The sequence below is a fragment of the Homo sapiens genome, chromosome 12 (genome assembly GCF_000001405.40).
Source record: "Homo sapiens chromosome 12, GRCh38.p14 Primary Assembly".
Taxonomy (NCBI): domain Eukaryota; kingdom Metazoa; phylum Chordata; class Mammalia; order Primates; family Hominidae; genus Homo; species Homo sapiens.
The window spans coordinates 24,858,298-24,884,546 of record NC_000012.12 but is presented as its reverse complement, the minus strand read 5'-3'; the positions used below and the strand labels follow the sequence as shown (position 1 = coordinate 24,884,546).

The 26,249-nt window shown below is 38.9% G+C and overlaps 1 protein-coding gene across 39 annotated transcripts in view, besides 1 other annotated feature; it reads left to right on the top strand.

Annotated features, from left to right (window-relative positions):
* The window catches only part of BCAT1 (branched chain amino acid transaminase 1), a 139,317-nt gene that overhangs the window by 64,794 nt on the left and 48,274 nt on the right, over positions 1 to 26,249 (top strand). For 26 of the 39 annotated variants that reach the window (NR_182106.1, NR_182105.1, NR_182109.1 and 23 more), the window contains 2 exons: positions 3,136 to 3,246; positions 5,898 to 6,017. The exons of 3 other annotated variants lie outside the window; for them this stretch is intronic. Coding sequence is in view for 28 of the 36 variants with exons in the window: in NM_001413107.1 (NP_001400036.1) it covers positions 3,136 to 3,246; positions 5,898 to 6,017 (231 nt within the window). In the remaining 8 variants the exon portion in view is untranslated. Of the gene's footprint in view, positions 1 to 3,135; positions 3,247 to 5,897; positions 6,018 to 7,592; positions 7,620 to 26,249 lie in introns of all 39 variants that reach the window. 10 more of the 39 variants (XR_007063110.1, NM_001178092.2, NM_001413103.1 and 7 more) reach the window with 3 other exon arrangements.
* Positions 21,884 to 22,003: an enhancer, noted in NCBI's record as "active region_6104". NCBI's record gives its function as "activates an Ori minimal core promoter by ATAC-STARR-seq in GM12878 lymphoblastoid cells {active_cell/tissue: GM12878}" and the evidence as "EXISTENCE:reporter gene assay evidence [ECO:0000049][PMID:35858748]".

The window sequence follows — 26,249 nt, the reverse complement described above, 5'->3', positions numbered from 1 at the left end:
AAGCTAATTAGCATACTCATCACTGAACATATTTATCATTTCTTGTGGTGAGAACATTTGAAATTTAATCTCTTAGCAATTTTGAAATATATGATACATTATTATTAACTACAGTCACCATGCTGTGCGATAGGTCTCAAAAACTTATTCCTCCTAATTGAAATTTTGTTCCCTTTGACCAACATCTTCCAATTCCCCAACCCCTAGCCTCCTCTGGTAACCACCATTCTACTCTCTACTTCCATTAGTTTGACTTTTTCAGTCCACATATGAGTGAAATCGTGCAGTATTTGTCTTTCTGTACTTGTCTTGTTTCACTTAGCATAATGTCCAACGGGTTCCCCATGTCATTGTAAATGATGGAATTTTCTTTTTTATAGCTAAATAACATTCCATCATGTATACATACCACATTTTCTTTATCGATTCATCTGTTGATGGACAGTTAGGTTGCTTCTGTATCCTGGCTATTGTGAATAATGCTACAATAAACATGAGAGCACAGATACCTCATGCTGATTTCAATTCCTTTGGATAAGGGTCCCCAAACCCCAGGCTATGGAACAGCAGTGGTATGTGTGGCCTGTTAGGTACTGGATCGCACTGTAGGAGGTGAGCAGCTGCGAGTGAGCATTACCACCTGAGCTCCATCTCATCTCAGATCAGTGGCAGCATTAGGTTCTCATAGGAGTGTGAACCCTATTGTGAACTGTGCATTGCAGGAATCTAGGTGGTGCACTTTTTATGAGAATCTAATGCTTGATGATCTGAGGTAGAATGATTGCACTCTGCAAGACTCCCCACGCTCATCCCTGTGGAAAAATTATCTTCCACAAAACTGGTCCCTGGTGCCAAAAAGGTTGGGGACTGCTGCTTTTGGATATATACCCAGAAGTGGGATTGCTGAAGCATATGGTAGTTTAATTTTAATTTTAATTTAATTTAGTTTAATTAATTTATTTTTAGCACCTAGGCTGGAATGCAGCAGTGCAATCATAGCTCACTGCAGCTTCCAATTCCTGACCTCAAGCCATCCTCCCAACTCAGCCTCCCAAATTTCTGGAACTACAGGAATGAGCCATCTCACTCAGCCCTATTTTTAGTGTTGGGAAGAATCTCAAAAAGTAATGACTGTACTAATTTACACCGCTACCCTCAGTATACAAGGGTTCCATATCCTCACTAATACTTATCTTTTATCTTTTTGATAGTAGCCATTCTAAGTATGTATAGTTTTAAAATTATGAAGTTTAAATTGAACCTTAGGAAGTTGCTACTCTGTCACCAGGCTGGAGTGCAGCAGCGTGATCTTGGTTCACCACAATCTCCGCCTCCTGGGTTTAAGCAATTCTCCTGGCTCAGCCTCCCAAGTAGCTGGGACTACAGGCACATGCTACCATGCCTGGCTCATTTTTATATTTTTGGTAGAGATGGGTTTCACCATGTTGTCCAGGCTGGTCTCGAACTCCTGACCTCAAGTGATCCAACAGCCTTGGCCTCCCAACGTGTTGGGATTACAGACGTGAGCCATCACACCCAGCCTTGAAGTTGCCTTTTTTATCTTCAGTAGTGCTTCTTGGCTTAAATTCTTTTGTTTTATAAATAGTAATGGAAGCTTGCCAGTTTTATTTTAGAAAGTATTTGCAGGCCAGGTGCAGTGGCTCATGCCTGTAATCCCAGCACTTTGGGAGGCCGAGGCAGGCACATCACTTGAGCCCAGGAGTTCGAGACCAGCCTAGGCAACATGGCAAAACCTCGTCTCTACAAAAAATACAAAAAATTAACTTGGGCGTGGTGGTGCGCGCCTGTAGTCCCAGCTACTCTGGAGGCTGAGGTGGGAGGATTGCTTGAACCCAGGGGGTAGAGGTTGCAGTGAGCCAAGATCTTGCCACTGAACTTCATTCAGCCTGGGTGACAGAGAAAAACAACTCTGTCTCAAAAAAAAAAAATAAATAATAAAAAATAAAGTATTTGCATGATATATCTTTTTCTGTCTTTTTGATTCAGATATTGTCAGCTGAGTCCAATCTAACAAACTTATATTTTAACCGAAGCTTTAGTACTGTTATATTTAATAAACTAATAATATATTTGCACTTAAATACAACATCTAATTTTATGCTTTTTAATTATACATGATTTGTATTTCTTTTTTTCCCATGTAAGTTTTTAGGGTATACATCTTTAAAGGCCTTACTTTTCATTATCGTTCAGTTTAACTTATTTTCTAATTTCCATTTTTCTTCTGTGACCTATGGTTTAGTTAGTGGTGGATTTATTTTCCAAAATATGGATGGTGTCCAGTCAAACTTTTGGTATTGATTTCTGGCTTATCTTGTGTTTGGAAAATATGTGAATTCTACAGCTGGTCTGTGTAAGAGTTCTCTGTATCAGTTAGGGAAGTTTGTTCTTCCTGTTGTTCATATCTTGCATATCTTTACTAAGGTTTAGCCTGTTTGTTCTATAAATTACTTAGAGAAGCTGTGTTAAATTTTCCCACTAAAATTATTGATTTTTGTCTTTCTCTGTATTTATCAGTATGTATCTACTGAAGTCTTTTCAAATCCCTGATCAGTGGTTTGTTCAGGACAGCACTTTGATTGAGGGAGGTGACGTGGCTTAACATAGTATGGTCTTGAGCTGCCTGGTTTCTGTGATTTAGGGACTGAACCAGCTCTGGTCACATCTGGATTATCTACTATCCAGCATTCAAATGAACCAGATTACATGAAAGGATATGGGGGTACTCTTTGGGGGCCACGGTGCCACAAGGCCTTTGGTTTCGATCTCCATTGCCTAGGGAATTAACCTGTGCTGTGTGATTCTAGATGTTTTCTTCCTGCTCCCTTAAATAACACCTAAATGTGTTATTCAGCAGTGTGGCTCCTGCTAAGCAGAGGAGAACTCGGAATTCCTACCAAATTCTGATAATAAAATAACTTTCCTCCACCTCAACCATTGTTTTTACCAGTCCTGTCAACTGTTAGCTTTCCTGGATTTAATGATCTCAAGTTGAGGTCAATGTCAACAGCTTTATGGGATGAATAAGATGAACGCCCATAGGAAAGTCAGTCTCTTGAACACGGGTTGTTTTCTTTTGGTTACCCTCTAAGATTTTTTCTCTTTGATCTCCAGTTATTTGAAGGATTGAAGGCATTTCGAGGAGTAGATAATAAAATTCGACTGTTTCAGCCAAACCTCAACATGGATAGAATGTATCGCTCTGCTGTGAGGGCAACTCTGCCGGTATGTAAGTGTAGGAGTTTCTTTTGTGTTTCTTTTAATGTAACGGGTCACGGTGTTGACCACCAAATAAATAATTTCTGAATAGTTAGATAAATATTCAGTACAAACCATATGAACATTAACATTATTTCTGATCTACTTTAGTTAGGTAAAAATACAAGAAAATGGCCGGGCACGGTGGTTCACTCCTATAATCCCAGCACTCTGGGAGACTGAGGTGGGTGGATCACTTGAAACCAGGAATTGGAGACAAGCCTGGCCAACATGGTGAAACACCATCTCTGCAAAAAATACAAAAATTAGCCGGGTTTGGTGGCACATGCCTGTGGTCCCATCGGTGTGGCTGAGGCATGAGAATTGCTTGAACCTGGCAGGTGGAGGCTGCAGTGAGCCAAGATAATCACATCACTGCCCTCCAGCCTAAGCCGCAAAGTGAGACTCTGTAAAAAAAAAAAACAAAAAACAAAAAACCCAAGAAAATAATATCATTTGGCAATTCCACAATTTTTTAAAATCAGTGTCTGTGGGGGATTCATATGCAAGTGAGAGATGAAAGAGTAAGGAAGAAAAATGTATCTCAACCTAAAATAATATTTGAAGACCACATGAAATTAATATTGAAAATGGAAAATATGGTGTGCAGCACAGGTATTTTGCGGATATTTTGCCTAATTGCTTTAGATGCTAGCAAGATATAGTAACTTAATTATTTTGATATTTTATCTTAAGTAATGTTTTGAGATAAAAAGATATCAAAATGGTTTCTCATGGCCATTGAATCGTGGCTGTCACAATGTTTCTTATGGAGCAGAAATCATTGTAAGATGGGTTAGATTTTTTTTTTGAGAGAGAGTCTCACTCTGTCACCCAAGCTATAGTGCAGTGGCACAATCTTGGCTCACTACAACCTCCACCTCCGGGGTTCAAGTGATTCTTGTGCCTCAGCCTCCTTAGTATCTGGGATTACAAGTGCACGCAGCCATGCCCAGCTTAATTTTTTTAAAAATTATTTTTAGTGGAGACATGATTTCACCATGTTAGCCAGGCTGGACTTGAACTTCTGGCCTCAAGTGATCTGCCTGCCTCAGCCTCCCAAAGTTCTGGGATTACAGGCATGAGCCACCGTGCCCAGCTTCAGGGATTTAGCCCAACCTATGCATTCAGGAAGCCTGAGGACGGCTAAATCCAAGTGTTCTTCATTCCTCTGCCTATTTTTGTAACCCGCATTTCACCCATCTCCTTTGGAGGCCATAATATAGTAGCAGAGGGGAAATTAAGGTAAATTCTTTGGACTAGGGCATAGTTTCGCTCTTCTTCTCATTACAGCTAGATCACTGGGGAAAAGTCTTTAAAATGGGGCTGGAAGGAAAGGGAAGTAATATTTGTTAGACATCAATTTTGCTACCAAACTGTGTTATGTAGTTTCACATTCCTTATCTGTGTAATCACAGCAGTAAGGCGTTGCTAAGAAGATTATTTGTTGTACAGTTTATTAGTGCCTTTGTACAGAGAAGAAAACTTGAGTCCAGAGAGATTAAATGACTTGTCTGAAGTCACAAAGAGCAAAAGGACAGGGCAAGAAATTAGATCCAGGTGTTTTTATTCCTGGTCAAGTTCTCTTCTCACTGAATTCTGTCTCTAGACAGCAATACCAGGGGCTGAGGCAGGTGCTACAGGGTTCACCTATATGATTGGCAGTCCCAATTTCTATAACATTACTACATTATTATTGCTGTTACAGGTCAATATTTAAATAGACAAATTCTGACTTCATGAGCTTTACTCAGATGCTTATGACTGACTCATTTCTACCTTAGGTGACCCATCACATCTCTGAAAGTATGTTTCTCTACTTTGCAAGTGAGCAGAGACTAAATTATTTTATGAAGTATCACCCATCTAGTAGATGTAATTTTTTTTTCTTTAGAAATAAAGTGCTCTTTGCTTTTGCCCATTTTCCTATTGGGTTATCTATCTCTTCATTGACTTTGGGGATATCCAAATATATATACCAGTTAAAATTCTTTGTTGATCATGCTACCAATAACTTCACCCAGTTTGTTGCTTTACATCTTTTGAAGAACGGAAGTCTTTAAGTTTCAAATAGTCACATTTTATCCATTTTTTTCCTTCATGATTTGTGTTTTACATCTCCTACTTAAGAATCCTTTCCTACCTTAAGGTCACAGAGATATTTTGTACTTTTTAAATAAAGTCTTAGTATTTTGTCACATTTAAGTATATCATCTAATTAGAATTGATTGGGGGGTATGGTAAGATGTAGGGATCTAATCTTATCTTTCACATGTGGATAGCTCGTCATCCCATCACAATTTTTGGGGGGAAAATCAGAAAAAATTGTTTGGTTTTATTATTACTTTAAAATTTTTTTTATTGGTACCATAAATTATACATATTTATGAGGTACACTGATGTTTTCATGCATGCATATAATGTGTAATGATTAGGACAAATAAGAAAGAAATAAATAAAAATTAGGATAATTAGGATATCCATCACCTCAAACATTTCTTATTTTTTTGTGTTGGGATTATTAATTTTTTAACAGTTTAAATGCTTCAGTGAGGATCATTTATTATTGCCACATTGTGAGAAAATTCTGTCATTTATTATGTTTTTCATTCTTTCAGGTATTTGACAAAGAAGAGCTCTTAGAGTGTATTCAACAGCTTGTGAAATTGGATCAAGAATGGGTCCCATATTCAACATCTGCTAGTCTGTATATTCGTCCTACATTCATTGGAACTGAGGTGCAAACTGACTCTTTATTTTGGGGTACTTTGCTGGGCAAGTTATTATTGTTTATTGTTGTTTGAAACTTCTAGCATATAGTTTGCAGTAGCCCCCCAGTAGCATCATTAATGACTTCTTCCTTCTGATTGTCAAGATTAGAGGTAGCAAACATTTTCTGTGAAGCGCCAATCAGTAAATATTTTTTGGCTTTGTGGCCATATAGTTTCTAATAAGAAATTAGATCCCTACCTCTTACCATACCCCAAAATCAATTATAATTCGATTATATACTTAAATGTGACAAAATACTAAGACGTTTATTAAGAAATACAAAATATCTCTGTGACCTTAGGTAGGAAATGATTTTTTTTTTTTGAGGTCTCTCTCTGGTTTTTTTTTTTTGCCCACGTTGTCGCTTAGGCTGGGGTGCAGTGATGCAATCACGGCTGACTGCAGCTTTGACCTCCTGGGCTCAAGTGATCCTCCTGCCTCAGCTTCCCAAGTAGCTAGTACTACAGGCATGTGCTACCATGCCTAGCTAATTTTTAAATTTTTTGTAGAGATGATGTCTCACTCTGTTGTCCTGGCTGGTCTCAAACTCCTGGCCTCTAGCAATCCTCCCACCTTGGCCTCCCAAAGTCCTGGGATTACAGGCATGAGCCACTTCACCTGACCGGAGAGGATTCTTAAACTCTGCCATTTTAGTACTAAAGCAGCCATAGACAGCACATAAATGAGTAAATGCAGTGCTGTTTGCCTTGCCCAATTAAGACTAGTCATTATTTTCTAAGTTTACAAGTGCAGTGCCTCCCATTGTGGCAGTACTTCTCTGAGGTAGAAATGGTTTTAAAATTTAGGGGAGGGAGAGCTGCTAATTTTCATTTTCATGAGGTCTTGGGATTACTTGGCATGGAGTGAGAATGGAGGTTCCCCTTCCCACATAGAAAAATGGTGAAAATAAAGTTCACAGTGGGAGTTAAGGAAGGAAATTGAAGAGCTGGGATGGTAGGTTTAAATAACATGACCTTATGATTTCCTGGTGGGTCACAGTCTCTTGGTTGGGTGCCCTTGTGAATAAAGGCATGGATTGGGCATGCCTGGAGGGGCCAAGGCCTTTTGAGCGGACGAGTATGTTTATATGAAGACCCTGTCACCTGTCTCTGGTATCTGCTAGGCAGCTGTGGCTTGAGAGTGTGATATTGAGGGATAATTGATGGAAGGAGATTGAATGTGGCTGGCAGGTAAAGAGATAGGGAACATATGGAGATATTTAGAATAAGAGAGTGTGAGATAGAGCGCTTTTGCTATAGCCTAGCCATTCTGTTCTCTACTAAGTGTTGCGGGGTTACCAGGTTTTCTACTAGGCTGTATGAATGCAAAAGGTAGAGAGATATATAGGGCCATGGAATAAATACCGAAGTGTTTTCTTTGGTATCCTTGATACCTTTCGAAAGCCGTGTAAGGATCTAGATAATGAATTTCGTGAATTGCAGTCTCTCTGACAAGTTTTAAAGAATAGGAACAATTTTAAAAAGTCATCTACTTCCATAAGTTTTTTGACATTTTAAGATAATTGAATTTTTTTTTTTCAGCTTTTAAGTTCCAGGGTACATGTGCAGGTAGGTGTGTTATATAGGTAAATGTAAGCCATGGTGGTTTGCTGTACAAATCAACCCATCACCTAGGTATTAAGCCCAGCATCCATTAGCTATTCTTCCTGATGCTCTTCCTCCTCCCGCCCCTTCCGACAGACCCTAGTATGTGCTGCTCCCTGCATGTGCCCATGTGTTCTCATTGTTCAGCTCCCACTTATAAGAGAACATGCAGTGTTTGGTTTTCTTTTAATATTATTTTTAACTTTATGATAGGAAGGAGTACTTTTTAAAGTTGGTTGAAACATTGTTACTGATCTCAAAGCACTACCTTCCAGTTATTCTGAGATACTTTTTCAGTCTAAGATCTGATACTCCTATTCCTGGTTTGTTGAGAGTTTTTGTCATGAATGGATGTTGGATTTTGTCAATTGCTTTTTTTGAATCTCTTGACATGATTATGTGGTTTTGTACTTTATTACATTATTAATGAATGAATTATATCAATTTATTTTTGGATGTTAAATCAACCTTATTTTCCTAAGCTAAATCCTACTTGGTCATTGTGAATAATCCATTTTTTTATCTTGCTATATTCAGTTTGCTAATATTTTAAGAATTTTTGTTTCACTGTTCATGAAATATATTGATCTAGTTTTCATTTTTCTTTTCTTTCTTTTTTTTTTTTTTTTTTACATCTCCCTCCTCTTCCTCTTGATCTAGTTTTCTAATACAGCTGCACTCCAACTTACGATGGTCCTACTTAGGAGTTTTTGACTGTATGATGTTTGAAAACAATATGAGTTTAGTAGAAACTTACTTTGAGTACACATACCATTCTGTTTTTTTGCTTTTAGTACAGTATTCAATAAATTATGTGAGATAACCAATACTTTATTATAAAATAATACACTTTTAGATGATTCTGCCCTACCATAGGCTAATGTAATTGTTCTGAGCACATTTAAGATAGGATAAGCTAAGATACGATGGATGTTTGGTAGGTTAGGTATATTAAATGCATTTTCACCTTAAGGATATTTTCAACTTAGGATGAGTTTATTGAGTTGTAACCCCATCACAAGTTGAGGAACATCTATGTATCTAATTCCATGATTCAGTAAATTCTTTAGACTGCCAAAATCCTGTAATCTAGAGTTAGACAAGATCTTAAATCAGGTTTTGTGGTCCATCTTGTAGTCATGATCATTCTCACTATTAGGGAATTCTTAACTTTTTGCATTTGAATCACCGAGGTGTTATTTAAAATACACATATGGAATCCAAGCTCCAGAGACTCTGAGTAGATCTGGTGAGTGATTGTGATGCCTGCCCACATTCAAGAACCTTAGTACAAAAGCCCTGCTGAATGGTTCTCTTTCACTATACACTCTATCAACTTATGTACTTGATCACACTTTGGACCTCAAAATCAATAATTTTTAAAAATCTACTTCCTAAGTTGTGAGGTACGAATTGAAGGAAATAATGAATACTATTTGGGGAGTCAACATTATTTATTAACGAATACCATTTGGGGAGCCGACATTATTTATATTTGGTTGGTATATTTGTATCAACTATCATTTTCTAATTAATGGTATAGGCAGAATAAACCATCACTTGTGATTCAGAAAGGAACATGATACAAATAACATCCAATAATGTATATGGATTTAAATAGATCTGCCCCCTACAGATGTTACGCAATTCATGTTGGTAATGATCATTCATTAGGTTTTCGTGGTGGCTACATTTGATATGTGAAGTACTGGCTGGAAGACTGGTGCCAGTAGCTTCAGGTTTGCTGGGATTCTTTCATCAGAGATGACTAGCTTTACTTATCTTTTTATGTTGCATGTTTCTATGATGGGCCTATCCTGTCATTGTCTTCATAGTATAATTGCAAGCTCAACTCTGTCAGTTATGTGATTTTTTTTTTTTTTTTGGTCCTGTCTTGCTTTTGGCTGACTTCTATATGTTTTTATTTCATGTCCTTTTCATAGTTAGATTAACTGGGTCTTATGTCCAAGAGATATTTTGATTTCTTTGAATGAATAAATCTATGTTAGGCTACTGTATTAGGTTTTATAGACACCTAGTTGATCACTTGTGTCCAGTCTCTATTCCCTGGTATGGTAGTTGCTGTGTTTATAGAACATTGAGGATTCTACAATGGACACATTGGTGTTGGGCCCCAGCCCAGACCCAAATCGAAATTTCTAGAGCCAGGATCAGAGACTCTGCATTCAACAAACTCTCCAGAGATTTCATAACCACTTTTAAAGGACTCACCATCCCAAACCTTGTTAAGGAATGAAATATATGTCTGCCAGTAATTTCAGTGCTTTAAGTCATTGAAAGCTGAACTTTTAATGGCACCAAAGTGGAAATATTTATATAATTGAAAGCTAAACTTCATCCTAATGGCAGTGTTGAGTTCACTTCCATAGGCCCTGATATAACAGTCTAATATTATTGTTTTTCACATAAAATAAGATTCAGTCACTGCCATATAATTAGGGAGTGGCTCTGCTATTGGATGGACTTAAAATATTTCATTATGTTTGCCAAGCTCTGTCTCTTTACATGTTTTATAATTAACTGATCCTTCATTTTTATTTTGTTTTATTTTATTTTTGAGATAGAGTCTCGCTTGGTTGCCCAGGCTGGAGTGCAATGGTGCAATCTTGGCTCATTGCAACCTCTGCTTCCCAGGTTCAAGTGATTCTCCTGCCTCAGCCTCCTGATTAGCGGGGACTACAGGTGCGTGCCACCATGCCCAGCTAATTTTTGTACTTTTAGTAGAGACGGGGTTTCACCATGTTGGCCAGGCTGGTCCCAAACTCCTGACCTCAGGTGTTCTGCCCACCTCGGCCTCCCAAAGTGCTGGATTACAGGCATGAGCCACCATGCCCGGCCTCCTTCATTTTTAATAATCTTCATAGATACATACTTGTTGTACTAATGTTTTTGTGCAGTTCCTCATGATAAATAATTAAATCAATTACTAAAATCCTTATAGATTTATGATGATAATAAATGGAAGTGTGTATTATTGAAACATGTTTAATTAACTGTTCATATATAACCAGTGAGTAGGGATTGGCAATTAAAAATACCAGGCTACCAGTGCATGGAAATTTGAAGAAAACAACAACCTGAAATTCAGAATACTCCAAAATCTGAAACTTTTTGAGCACTGACATGACTAAAAATGCTCATTGGAGCATTTCAGATTTCATTTTTTCAGATTAGGGATGCTGAATTGGTAAGCATAATGCAGATTAATCCAAAATCTGAAAAAAATCCTAAATCAAAAACAGTTTTGGTCAGAAGCTTTGTGGATAAGGGATAGTCCAAGCTTTTTGGACTGAAGCTTTTTGGATAAGGTATAGCCTATAATACATAAATACATAATACAGGATAATCACTGACCTGAATGTATAGCATCAGTATGGTACACAAATATTTAAATCCATGTACTTTGTTGGATATTATGTTATATAAACTTCTTGTAAAAAGTTTAGAGAGTAAAATCATTCACATTACCAAAAGATTTCTCATATTTATAAAAAGGATTATAGCAGCATTTTAATCAGTATCTCCTAAAGTATTTATTTATGGGTTGTTAAATCTAAAAGAGAAACTACAGTCTGGAGGGCTCTAAACTACTGCTGATTACATATCAGTTGGGAATTAAGAGAAAATCTCAGATCATAATATTTAAATAAAAACATTTACATGAATGATTTCTAAGTTTTCACTTTACTAGACAAGAAACTAAAATTATATGACTGTCATGTTCAATATTGGATACTTAACAACACTACATCCAAGGAAGCCAGGTTTTGCTGATTTTAACCTCGTCCTGTTGAGTAACTCCATGCAGGTACAGTGGTACAAACACATGTGGACACACAGACCCAGACCTTTATTTCCTCGGGGATTCTGGTAAGTGTAGAGGTGTCTTGACCATAGTCAATAGCAGAAATATGCACAACCACAAGCTCTGAAATTCCATTTGATTGTTGCTCTTAGCCTTCCACTTTTTAGGCATATGTCAGTCCCATTTCATCCCACCCACTCTCTCCATTTGGGAGGTGGTAGAGTGAGACAATACTGAACTATACCAGGGCTGAGAATAAGTGTCTTTGAAAAGGGTCGAATCTGTGATGCTAGAGACAGCCCTGGAAACTGTCAGGAGTTAGCCCAACCAGGACTGTGACCAGATCCCAGGCTGTCCACCACAGATTTGCAGGCTACCTGCAGATGTGACTTTTTCAAATGTACTCAAAGACAAGCTGACTTTGGCTAATGCAGAAATTAATTAATTCCTCTTTTTCAGTAAACTTTATCCTCCTACACTTAGATTGTCTGTAAGTACATCTCTGGAGTTGAGCTCAACTAGAAAGAAGCTGTCTGCATTTAGTTAATACCAGCATTGGATGCACACAATATAATTTGAATAATGTAGAGCAACATTTTAATCATCTCTCATAAGCAGTTTCCCCATTTGCAACTTCCTGGGAAATCTTACATTATGAAATGTTCATTAGAACTCCCATTTTAAAACCCTGCTGCCATTTTGTGAGTGGGCAGAAGAAAGGCTGGAGATGAGATTTGTCTGTCTCAAATGATTCACTCCTTCATTTCTGGTTCACTCCACAGGGAGCTTAAGGACATGTGCGTTTCATAGACATGCCTTTCTTTTCCTTTTATCACCTTGTTAAATCTTAAGATTGAACATACAATTCAGCCTGTAATCATATCAATTCCCATGAAAAATATTTTCCTTATTCACTGCCTCTATTTGTGCTTATACATCTGATCATCTTTTTCCTTTACTTTACAATTAGTTTCTATGAACAGAAGAATCTGAAAGATTTAAAGACTAGTTAGCACAGCAGCAATTTATAAATCATTAATTTGGGTACTGTCTATACATTTAATGTGTTCTTTTTCATAGTCCTATGTGAAATACATATACATATATATATATTCCACTGTTTATAAACAATATTCAGTTTTATTTGCATAACTCAATATATTTTATATTAACAGCTCCGTTTTTAGTGTCTTAAGACATCGAGTCTGTTTTTAGAGATACAGTCTATTTGCCTTGATTTTAGCCTGTTATAATCAGCTTATTATTATCTGGCCACTCTTACCAGTGAGTATCATCTTGAGGCTGTTCTTGCTCATTTCAACTTGTCACAGGGGATGTTTTTTACTCTTTGGAGTTTAGGTACACCAGGTTATTAATTATGCTCCTGATTCATGGTACTTCCATCATGGGGCATATAAGGTCCCTGTCTTTGTTTTATTCCCTTCTATCTTCATTCACCACTCTCATTTCCTCTCTCTCCACTAGAAATAATTCTCAGGAATCAAATTAATATTATTCTGGCTTATATGTGTTTTTAAAAATCTCATCGCTTTTTATACATGTAATTTTAATTTATGTAAGAGACTTTGTCCTACAGATTTCATTGTGTTTCTTCTCTTTTTCGCCCAGCACTGTGTGTTCCATTTCTATCCAGTCTACTATGTGTACATCAAGTCCATCATTTCTAACTGTTGCATAGTTCATGATGCGAGGCATCTTCCACATTGTATCCCAATTCCCTAACTGGAATCCCAGTTCCCTGCTACCTCACACAATGCTCCAGTGAACAGCTGGAAAATCATACAACCCAAGGAATTATTGAAAGTGATTATATCCCAGCAAAAGGCCCAGGCCCATCTTACACTTCCACCCCAAGAAGGTACTGCTACTTTTCGGGAATGGCCTGGTCTCCTTGGCGAAATTGGCATTTGATCTGTTCTCATCACTGTCGTCTGGCATCAGAAGTGACCCCACTTGTCAGGCACTGTACTCAGTGCTTTCCATGCACTAACTCTGATAACAATCTTTTTTTTTTCTTTTTTTGAGACAGAGTCTTGCTCTGTTGCCCAGGCTGGAGTGCAGTTGTGTGATCTCAGCTCACTGCAACCTCCACCTCCCAAATTCAAGCGATTCTCCTGCCTCAGCCTCCCCAGTAGCTGGGACTACAGGCGTGCACCACTACACCTGGCTAATTTTTGTATTTTTAGTAGAGATGGGGTTTCACCATGTTGGCCAGGCTGGTCTTGAAATCCTGACCTCAGGTGATCCACTTGACCTCCCAAAGTGCTGGAATTGCAGGCAAGAGCCACTGAGCTTGGCCTGATAACAATCTTGTGAGCAGGTGCTTATGCAGTATTTTAGGGATGTGAAAGTAAGGTCCAAAGCGGTGAAATAAGAGCCTGTATTCTCTTAACCTCCATCCCGCAACATCTTTTATGTGTCAGTCCCTGCACTAAGTCTAGGGATACTGTGCTGAGCAAAAACTATCTTCTTGCTTTCACAGAGCTCAGTGTCTGGCAGGGGGTCAGACTTTCATAATATAAACCCACTAAATGAGTGCATATTGATGGCGGTCACTGCTGTGAAGAAGTGGGAATGGTTAGCATGGAAACATAGCCCCAATGGGGGCGACTAAGTTCTTTCCCATCTCATTCTACTATGTCTACTTTCATCTCTACTTTTTTCTTTTCTGAGCTATCAGCTTTCTTGCTCTCAACTATATTTGATGTATTTAACCAGATTTTATATATTGTATTATGTATTTTATAACATGTATATATATCATATAACATACACATATACATACATACACACAGCCAATTAAGTCTCAAGTTCAATTACAATGCTTCTAAGTTTAGGACTATTCATTTTCATTTTGGCAGAGAAATTATCTGGTAAAAAATTCAAGTAGAACCAAAGGTATACAATAGATGGGAAGTTTCCTTTTCACTCTCACACTCTCATTTCCATCCAGGGTTCTACAATTCATCTCCTTCCAAGCAATTCCTATTGCCAGCTTTTCTTATACCCTTTCAGAAATACACACACACACACACACACATATATACACACACACACACACACCCTTACATGTGTTTGTACATTATCTCTCTTTTTACAAAATTGGCAGTGATTCTTTGTCCTGTTTCTGCCACTACTCAAAAATTTTAAAACAAATTACACACCTATAAACATACAATTTAAAGAAAAGAGTGAAAGTGAAAATCTAAGGACCCAGCACATGGTTAAGATGAGAGCATGATGGGTTCAATGGAAAGCCTTTGTGTACCTTTCTCCTTTGCCTCCGTTCCCTCTCCAATAGAGTCAACCACGTTGGAGGTTATAGCACTTCCTTCTTTATGTCCCCCCATCTCCCATCTGGTATGGTATTCTCTTTTACTGCAGATGGACATTTTGGCAGACATATGTAGTTGCTTCTCTTTGGTATTTACCTAGGAGTTGAAGTGCTGGGTCACAGGGTGTATGTATATTTCACTTTAGTAGATACTGCTGTTGTAGGACTTTCTCCTTAGTTTAGCTAAAGATGGGGTCCTTGTCCCAAGGCCATGAAAAATTAGGCTCGCAGACAATTTGAAAGGTGAGAATAATGGAACTTATTGGGAAAAAAGGGAAACAGGGACTCCCCACAAAGCCAGGGTCCTGCTAGCATGCTTCCTGCCTTGCAGATTGAATCCCAGGTACCACCCAGGAAGAGGAGGGGCCAGGCTCCTCCCCACTGTGAATGGTGTGACCGTCTGTGGCTCCCCAGTGTGCACTCCTCCCAGTGTGCAGGCCGGTTGGAGTTTCTCTGGGGTCTTCTTCCCACTTGGCTGTCTCACTGCCAAACTCCCAAAGTGCTTATACCAGTTTACTCTCCCATCAGTGGTGTATGTATTTGCTTCATTTCTTTGCCAATACTGATACTGTCTTATTAACTTTCCTCATTCTAATGTATACAGTCTTGTGTTATTTGTGGTTTAATTTCCCTGAGAACCAATTATGTTGAGTACCTTTTCATAGGTTTACCAGCTACAGAAGTCCTCTTGTGAAGTGCCTTTGCAAGTCTTTTGTCTTTTTAATTTTTTGCATCTTTGTATATTCTAGGTATAAATCCTTTGATACATATATCACAAATAACTTCCTAGTCTATGGCAAATCCTATGTTGGATAAACGTACTGCAAATAGTTTCCCAGTCTGTGGCTAGCTTCTGTGTCTGTGTCTTGCTTTGTCACTTTCTTACTGATATCTTTTGATGAACAGAAGTACTTAGTTTTAAAGTAGTTAAAGTTTTCTTTATGTTTTATACTTTTTATGCATTTTAAAGAAATTTTTTGTTACTCCAAGGTCATACAGGTTAAATAAATTCTTACTCCAAGAACATTCTTTTAAAGTTTTGCTTTTTTTCATTTAAATGAAATCCATATGAAAGTGAACTTTGTTATCAAGTAACATATACAATTTCTTTTATTTTTCTGCACGGAGACCAAGTTGTCCCATCACCATTTATTGAGTGGTCTATCCTTTCCTCACTGATTACAGTGCCAGTTTTGATATGTCATGTTTCCATAGATGAAGAATATTTTGGGGCTCTCTATCTGTACCTTCCTTTTTAAAAAATATAAATAGTGGTGATACTATGAACAATTTTGTTTGTATTATTGTTTTTTGCACTTAAAATTTGTCTTGGAGATCTTTTCATTTTGGCACATACGGATACACCCCTATTTTTTTTTCCATTTTCCTAGATGTGGGGTATCCATTGGACATATGTACCGTACTGAATTTAATATAGAATGTCATAAATTACAAGATGTAACATTATTTTATACACTGAGATGGAGAATCAAACTGCAACGCAGTACTTCCCTGATCATCCTGAGTGATTCATGAGTTAGTTATACTAGCCTCTTATTTCTTTGAGGTGTACGTTTTCTGAGGGAATCTGCCATTTCTCCTGCCATGAGTTGCATTGCTTGGCTCGTGATAGGCATTTTTATTTTTGCATGTAATTTTGTAACAAATGCTAACACTGCTTTATCTTCTTTTTGTTTTTGTTTATTGAGACGGAGTCTTGCTCTGTTTCCCAGGCTGGAGTGCAGTGGTGCAATCTCGGCTCACTGCAACCTCTGTCTCCCAGGTTCAAGCGATTCTCCTGCCTCAGCCTCCTGAGTAGCTGGGATTACAGGCATGTGCCACCATGCTCGGCTACTTTTTGTATTTTTTGTAGAGATGGGGTTTCACCATGTTGGTCAGGCTTGTCTTGAACTCCTGACCTCAGGTGATCTGCCCCACTCAGCCTCCCAAAGTGCTGGGATTACAGGTGTGAGCCACCAGCCAGCTTTATCTTTTTAAAGGTTTCTTCCTATTGTGGGTTTCATTAGAGGGCTTGGTTGTTGCTTTGCAAGAAAACATTGACTTGCTTTTGTTTAATAGTCTTATAAATATTTGTTTCACTAACATCAAATACATGCCATGCTCCTGCTTTTGAGCTTTTCTGTGCAGTAACTTTTCTTCTCAGTGCTAAATCATAAGTTTTTAAAGACATTTAACATGGCACACTCAACATGTGTCACCAATGCCCATAGCCACTGGAAGTATCATCAGTGTCAACAGCTATGACGTTTGGCAATGACAGCTTTGCCATAACTGCTGCTTAGCCAATAACAATTGTGGAATGCTGAGTCCAGATCTCAAACATGTTAAAGGTAAAAAAAAAAAAAAAAAAAAGATATTTTCGAGTCTGTAAAACATGGTAGCGTATCCGGAATTGGTGGGTTCTTGGTCTCACTGACTTCAAGAATGAAGCCATGGACCCTCGCGGTAAGTGTTACAGTTCTTAAAGGTGTCGTGTCTGGAGTTTGTTCCTTCTGATGTTCAGATGTGTTCGGAGTTTCTTCCTTCTGGTAGGTTCGTGGTCTCGTTGGCTCAGGAGTGAAGCTGCGGACCTTTGCGGTGAGTGTTGCAGCTCTTAAGGCGGCATGTCTGGAGTTGTTCGTTCCTTGCGGTGGGTTCGTGGTCTCGCTGGCTTCAGGAGTGAAGCTGCAGACCTTCCCAGTGAGTGTTACAGCTCATAAAGGCAGTGTGGACCCAAAGAGTGAGCAGCAGCAAGATTTACTGCAAAGAGCGAGAGAACAAAGCTTCCACAGTATGGAAGGGGACCCCAGCAGGTTGCCACTGCTGGCTCAGGCAGCCTGCTTTTATTCTCTTATCTGGCCCCACCCACATCCTGCTGATTGGTCCATTTTACAGAGAGCTGATTGGTCTGTTTTGTCAGGGTGCTGATTGGTGCATTTACAATCCCTGAGCTAGACACAAAAGTTCTCCACCTCCCCACTGGATTAGCTAGATAAAGAGTGTTGATTGATGTATTTACAAACCCTGAGCTAGACACAGAGTGCTGACTGGTGCATTTACAAACCTTGAGCTAGATACAGAGCGCCGATTGGTGTATTTACAATCTCTTAGCCAGACGTAAAGATTCTCCAAGTCCCCACTAGACTCAGGAGCCCAGCTGGCTTCACCCAGTGTATCTTGCACCAGGGCTGCAGGTGGAGCTGCCTGCCAGTCCCGCGCCGTGCACCCGCACTCCTCAGCCCTCGGGCTGTTGATGGGACCAGGCACTGTGGAGTGGGGGTGGCACTCGTCAGGGAGACTCAGGCCGCACAGGATCCCACAGCGGTGGCGGGGGGCGGGAGGCTCAGGCATGGCAGGCTGCAGGTCCCGAGCCCTGCCCTGCAGGGAGGCAGCTAAGGCCTGGCGAGAAATCTGGCCCGGCGAGAAATCTAGCGCGGCGCCGGTGGGCCAGCACTGCTGGGGGACCCGGTGCACCCTCCGCAGCTGCTGGCCTGGGTGCTAAGCCCCTCACTGCCCGGGGCTGGCAGGGCCAGCCGGTCGCTCCGAATGTGGGGCCTGCCAAGCCCACTCCCACCCGGAACTCCAGCTGGCCCACAAGCACCATGCGCAGCCCGGGTTCCCGCCCATGCCTCTCCCTCCACACCTCCCTGCAAACTGAGGGAGCCAGCTCCGGCCTTGGCCAGCCCAGAGAATGGCTCCCACAGTGCAGCGGCAGGCTGAAGGGCTCCTCAAGCGCGGTCAGAATGGGCGCCGAGGCCGAGGAGGCACCGAGAGCGAGTGAGGGCTGGGAGGGCTGCCAGCACTGTCATCTCTCAGTAGCATAATTTATATAACCAGTCTCTTGTTGATTAACCATTATATTATTGATACAACAAATATAAGAACTGTTACTAGTAAATTGAGTAAAGCAGGAAAATTAAATTTGGTCTCTTACTGATCAACCATTATTAGATTGTTGATAACAACGGTTATAATGTTGATCAACCGTTATATTGTTGATACAATTATATTTGATGTATTTAACCAGATTTTATATATTATATTCTATATTTTATAACATGTATATGTATCATATAACATACACATATACATACACACACACAGCCAATATAATTTCACTCTCAGTTTCTTGTTAATCAACTATTATATTGTTGATACAACAAATATAAGAACTGTTACTAGTAAATTGAATAAAGCAGGAAAATTACATTTGGGAGCCTTAAAGATGTAGGTTTTCTTCAAGAAATTTATGTTATAGTTATATCCCCTGTTGCATGTGAAGACATACATTCAAGGATACTTACTGCAGCTCACACAATTTGCTGATAGGTTGGATGTGGGTGTGAGAGAAGAGATGCTGTTTTCCTTTTGGGCGATGGCAACTGGATAGTAATCAGTTACTAAGATGGAGAAGAATGAGAAAGAAGTCTTTTTTTGTTTGTTTGTTGGAGTGATATGGGTAGAATAAAGAGTTAAAACAGTCATGCATGTAGGTACTATAGATGTGAAAGTCTATTATTCAGGGGAGAGTTTGGAATTTAAGGGATAGATTCTTGTCTTTAAGCATAAAAATGCCTTTGAAGGTGAGAAACTAGATTACATCTTTAAGGGGAGAACTGTAGATAGAGATGAAAAGAAGGCAAGGACTAACCCCTGGGGCAGGTCAGCATTTAGAAGAAAGGGAGTTTGTAAAATGCTAAGCTGTCTGAGAAGTAGCAGCCTGCAAGGTAGAAAGAAAAACAAGAGAGGTTTAGTGGACTGGAAACCAAGTGAACCTGGAAACCACAAGCAGCTGTGGCAAATCCTGCCACAGTGAGATGAGGCCTGAGAACTGAGTATTGGATTTGTCAATGTGGAAGGCCTTGGTGATCTTGATAAGCATGTGTTAGTAGGGTGGTGGGGTTGCAGTGTTTGGGATTTGAGAGAGAATGAGAGAATGGGTAGCTGTGATGCTGAATATGTATAAATGTCAGGAGGAATTCTGCTGCACAGTGGGACAGAGAATGGACGCCTCCCTGGAATGGGATAGATGCTAAAGGGAGTGTGTGTCTTAGTTGGGAGATATTATGGCATATCTCTAAGCTAATAGTAATTAGCCAGAAGGAAGGGAAAACTGATAGTTAAAATGTTCAAAAGATTTCTCACATTCCTATCATAGTTCTCCTTCTAAGGGTGACCACGTAAGCAGGCAGGGACATGTGACTAAGTAGAGCAGCATCCAACCCCCACCTTGCACGGTCACACACATACTGCTCCATTGACACCATAGTGTCTTGGTGTGAGCTCTTCATTACTTGACTCAATATCTTCTTCCTCATCTTCTCAGCTGGGGTTGTTGGGTATATCTTCATTGCAGATATTAGCATCCTTTGTGGTCTTCTTTGTCTTTCTATTCTAGGGCCAGCACAGTGGGAGGCCTAGTCAACTGAGCCAAACTGGATATAACCACAAGGTCAAAGGCAGGAGCCAGTGAGGAGATCTTGGTTTTGAGGTCATTCCTGGTGCGATAATAACCATCCTGTAGCATTTTCTTGTCACTTAGAGAAGGCATTAGCAAACTTTTTTTGTAATGGTCTTAATAGTAAATATTTTTGACTTTGTAGGCTATATAGCTACTCACCTCTGCTTTTATAGTACAAAAGCAGCCATAGACAATTCATAAATAAATGAACATGTTCCAATAAAAGCAATAAAAACAGGCAGCAGTCTGAAGTTTGTCGACTCCTGATTTGGAATCATTCCAGAAAGTGAAATAAAAGCATGGCTTCTTTTTTTTTTTTGAGACAAGGTCCTGCTCTGTCACCCAGGCTGGAGTACAGTGGTGTCATCATAGCTCACTACAGCTTTGACCTGCTGGGCTCAAGTAATCCTCCCACCTCAGCCTCCTGAGTGTCTAGGATTACAGGCATGTGACATCACACCTGGCTGATTTTTAAATTTTTTGTATTGATGGGGTCTTGCTATGTTGCCAAGGCTCACCTCAAACTCCTGGTCTCAAGTGATTCTCCTGCCCCAGGATTCCCAAAGTGCTGGAATTAAAGGTGGGGGCCACTGTGCCCAGCCAAAGCATGGCCTTTCTAAGGGTGACTCACTGTAGCACCTCCTGAGTACTTTCCTATCAAGTATCCTGGACCACTTTTTAAATAATTCATTCTAAAATCCATATTTAGGATTGATTCCAAATTTGCCAACCTGTATTTCCCAAATAACTGGCATGATAATTCTTGTCTTTTTCCCAAATGCTCATTTTCCACTCTTCAAACGTTGAGTGTTGACTGAAGTTCTGTGGTCATGTTTACAGTCATTTTTATGCTCTTTGTATTGTACATATGGAATGTATTTACCATTTCTGTTAGCAATGATTTCTTGCAAAAACAATAACACTTGCTAGTTTTGCGTGCTTAAAAATATCGAGCCCTGGCGCTCTCTACATATTATCTAATGTAATCCTTATATTAACCCTGTGAGTAGTCATTATCACTTCTTTTACACAGGAGGAAGTTAGAGAAGAGTGTTAAGTGTTCTTTTAGTCTTTTCCACTTTGTCTTTAGTTTTCTCTTAGCTGTTCTTTTAAATTCTAAGGTCATTCTTATCTAAAAACTTAAAAGAGTTGATCAGCCTTTTTATCAAGTGTTAAATTTATACCATCTTTTTTCTTTGAACAGGGCTGGCAAATAAACCTGGATTTATCCCTTAGCCCTGTTACAGCAAGTCTCAGAAAATTTGGACTTCAGCTTCCCCAGTGATACATTTTCAAATGCCTATGTATGGATTGCCCATTAGTTTATTGGCTAGAACTAAAGGAAATCAGGCAAGAGACAAAGGACATTTTCTCTAGGGTGTCAGTCAATGCAAAATGTTAGGACTAGCATCAGATTTTTTTTTTTTTACAAATGAAAATAATTGAAGTGTGGTAGAAGTTCCTCTAGTTCTGGCAGTCCTAAATATTGTTAACTGAAGAATGATGGGGCTCATAAATTTGGAAAGGAGAGAGAGGGGAAAAGAGAACGGGAATTTATGCTGAGCAGGGTGGCTAAGTATATATATTCAACAGGCTATAGGAGGAGCTATTAGTATTCACGAAGGGGTGGCACACACATACATAGTAGGCTAACGTGTATGCAGCATGCATCACAAGTCACTTTGGGGTGGAGCCTTAACATTTAATGTATTACAGTTAGGGCCTATACATCAAAAGGTGAAGCAGAGGACACGAAAGCCCTCTGTGTTCAGCCTCTGTAGACTGGCCAGAACCACTCTGTGGTCAGAGGTCTCTTATCAGGAAAGAATTCTTGTTGTTGTGTTGAAACTGCAAAAGGGAGGGGCAGTGTCAGGCAGGTGGTTGATACCAGTCTTTCAGAAGCACTGGTTTCTGTTTAACTTTTAGAGAAGAAAGCTTAATTGGAGTGTTACTGGAAAGGGATACCAGTCTAGACCACAAGAGAGGATTCTTGGATCTCACACAAGAAAGAATTCAGGGTGAGTCCACAGAGTAAGATCAAATCAAGTTTATTAGAGAAGTAGAGAAAGAAAAGAATGGCTGCTCCATAAGCAGAGCAGCACTGAAGGCTTCTGGTTGGCTATTTTTATGGTTATTTCTTGATTATATGCTAAGCAAGGGGTGGATTATTCATGAATTTTCCTGGAAAGGGGTGGGGAATTCCCAGAACTGAGGGTTTCTCTTTCTTTTAGACCATATAGGGTAAGTTCTGGATGTTGCCATGGCATTTGTAAACTGCCATGGCACTGGTGGGAATGTCTTTTAGCATGCTAATGCATTATAAATAGCCTAAGATAAGCTGTGAGGATGACCAGAGGTCAATTTCCTCACCATCTTAGTTTTGGCTGGCTTCTTTACTGCTTCCTGTTTTTTCAGTGGGTTCTTTGTGACCTGTATCTGTCTTGTAATGTCCTATCTCATCCTGTAACTAAGAATGCCTGACCTCTTAGGAATGGAGCACAGGTGGTCTCAGCTCATTTTATCTATCCCCTATTCAAGATGGAGTTGCTCTGGTTTAAATAGTTCTGACATATTTTCCCCAATACCCCCAAAGGGACCCTTAATCCCAAAATTTGCAGACAGATGAAGATCCATCTTCTGTAGCTTCTTCTGGCTGAATACAGGTGATGATATTTTTGCGTAACTATTCAGGGTAGAGAGGAGCTCAGTGAGAAAGCATCAGTATGGTGAAGGCCATTCCTAACTCCCGAGTTCTCACAAAAGGTGATATCTGGAAGATTAATAAGTGTTCAATTTAAGAAAACGTTGAGTAGTCTTATCCTGCATTGCTACACAAAGAGTACCACAGCAATATATTCTACAACAGTAAAGCAAAATAAGTATAATTATCCCAACTAAACTAAATAACAAGCCTTTCCATGAACTAGGCAGTTGTTGGAACCAAGCTTATATGGGGTTGCTAGCCAATTCCAACACATGTTCAGAATTAAAATACTGATCCAGATATTTATGTTACCCTTCTGTTTCTTCTGAGCAGCAGCTAGAGATCACTGGTTGGTTCATAGGAACAAACAGGGTCAATCTAAATGGCAGAAAAAACTCGAAACAATGAATGGGACTAGAGTTGAATAACAAGTATACCATAGTTTCTGAAACATAATTTTTCTCTCTCCAGTCTCCCATTTCTATTGAAAACAAATCATGGTAGGACTGATTTGTTTGCACAGTAAGCTTTAGTCTTATTATGCTTGGCCTGGTTATTTGTATAAAGCATAGCAATAATAATTATTTGCCACGTAGGCTTTTTAAAAATTGACTTTGATGTAACTTTGTTCCATAAGAAATCTCAGATTAGACTTTCTAAAGCCTTGAGCTGAGACACAGATTTATCTGTGCCTGCAAATACTTGTATGAGTTGTGTGAATTCTCCTTTTGAGATCCCAAGATAACTGGAGCTCCTAGGCCTGTCAGAAAGTGACATTCTTTACTTACCACAGGTCAGGAACCCTGTAAAGGAATTGAATAGACAAGGTATGAGGCCAGCTTTTCCCAGAGGCTTTCATCAGTTCTGTAAGTCAACTTTGATTCCTTAAAGCAATCTGTTTATATTTGAAAGAATGCCATTCCAGTCAAAGCCCTGGTAAAACAGGCAGTGTCTCTAATTGTGTCCTGTTACAAAGGAAAACAGATTTTTATTGCACATATGCAAATTACTATGCTGCCATAAGTTAAGAATACTCACAAATAGTTTTCAAATTCTTGAGAAATCAGGTAGAAAGAAATATGCTCCAAAGTTTTCTCATAGGAGTATAATTTACTCAATTTTTAACAACTGTAAATAGCTCAAAAAAAAAGGTTTCTTGACTCTGAAAAATGAAACAAAGGATCAGCAACATTTTAAGCAAAAAGTCACTAGAAGGTTATTTTGTTCTTTTATTAGTTTAGTCCATGCTGTTAATTCCTGTTTGCTCAATATTTATGAACATATTGGTTTCCCAAGGGAGACTCTTGAAAGTTTTTTTCCTCTCTATCTTAATGGCACACTTTACAAAATTTTTCAGAAACCTGCATTTAAGAGCCCTCTATCTGATTATAAACCATCTTTTAAAGAGGATCAAAACAAGACAACAATTTTCTGTGGATAACATAAAGTCTTAGGAAAGCCGTGGTTAAAGACACAATTGACTAGAAATTTTGGTTACTTCTGTGGCATACAACAATTTTACATAACAGTTATAATTATTACTGATAACATAAACTAAGTCATATCAGAATTTAGGAGTTTCCCATAATTTTGGAGCACATACCAATAACATATTTATACAAATACAACTCAAAGAAAGCTAAACACCATTTCATATTTGACAGTGCTTCCTGTATGATTTTAATATACCAAGTAAGCCAAATATGTCATTTTTGGACTTAAGGGGACCTCATATCTAAAGTATTGACCAGATCAGGAAAAGGCATAATATAGAATTTGATTTTGGAAAGTTTGTCAAATATCAAAGATTTAAAACACTTGATATTATAAAATCGAATCCCAGGTCACTGTAAAGTCATTTATTTAGCCAAAATGATAATACAAAGATTTTCCAAAAGCAAAATCCTTTTTTTTTTTTTTTTTTTTTGAGACGAGTCTGGCTCTGTCGCCCAGCTGGAGTTCAGTGGCGCCATCTCGGCTCACTGCAAGCTCCGTCTCCCGGGTTCACACCATTCTCCTGCCTCAGCCTCCGGGGTAGCTGGGACTACAGGCACCCGCCACTACGCTTGGCTAATTTTTTTGTGTTTTTAGTAGAGACGGGGTTTCACCATGTTAGCCAGGATGGTCTCCATCTTCTGACCTCGTGATCCACCCGCCTCAGCCTCCCAAAGTGCTGGTATTACAGGCGTGAGCCACTGCGCCCAGCAAGCAAAATCCTTTACTCATTGATAGAGGGAAGACAGCTTTCCAAACAATGTCTCACTTTTTCTTCTTTATTTTGTTGTTTATTCAAAAGGCAAACAAAAATCTTCCATGATCTTTTAATATTACATGAAAATTTTGTTCAAGAGAGAAAGCCAAATTTCATCTTTGCATTAATGAATGTCAAATCCAATTCTTAAGAAAACCTTGTAGACAAATTATTCAATCTTAATCAATTTTACCATGAGATAAGATTCTCATAAACCTTTTGTAGTCCTTTACAATTTTTTTTTGTTGTTGTTAAAGAGCAGATTAATGCTCTAAGAAAACCCTGTTGTGCTTTTATTCCAATGTTCTATTTATGGAAAAACTGAATAATACCCTTTAACTTTAGCTAATATTTTAACACACAGAATTTCTTTTACAAGATTAATTTTCACTGACCTCCCACAACTTACTCAAACCTTTAGCTTTATCCTATGTAACTTAAAACAGTCTTTTAACTCTGTAAACTAGGCAATAAGACCACATTCCCATGCCTTCTTATAATCTTTTACCAAAAACACATTCTATTTTCCTTACACGCCTTGCAGGTAACACTGTTTCTCTGGTAGCCTCAATTACATGTGCTACAATGTTAACTCTTAGCAACTTTTATATTTGGTGAAAAGTCTGATAAATAAGTGGTTTTAATTATGTACCAGGTGTGGAGCCTAGGACGCCAGACAGAAGTGCAGATAAGGTCTGAGTCTTTCCAGCATAGCTAGGGGGCATGGCCAACTCCACATGTCCCCAGGCCCTACCTAGAATCTAATGGCTCCAAAGCAGGTGAGTTGAACAATTATCAAGTTAAAGAAGCAGTTTATGGCATTGAAGCATTCAGCAAATCTAATTTAATCTGACCTAATTTAGACCAGATGTCTAAATTTTGAAGACATTTTTATTTTACCAATATATTTGATTCTCTTTATTTCCCAAAGATTATTAAAGTCCCATGAATTAAAAGGTGTTAAAGTTTTTATTTTTCTGACAAAATATTCAATTTA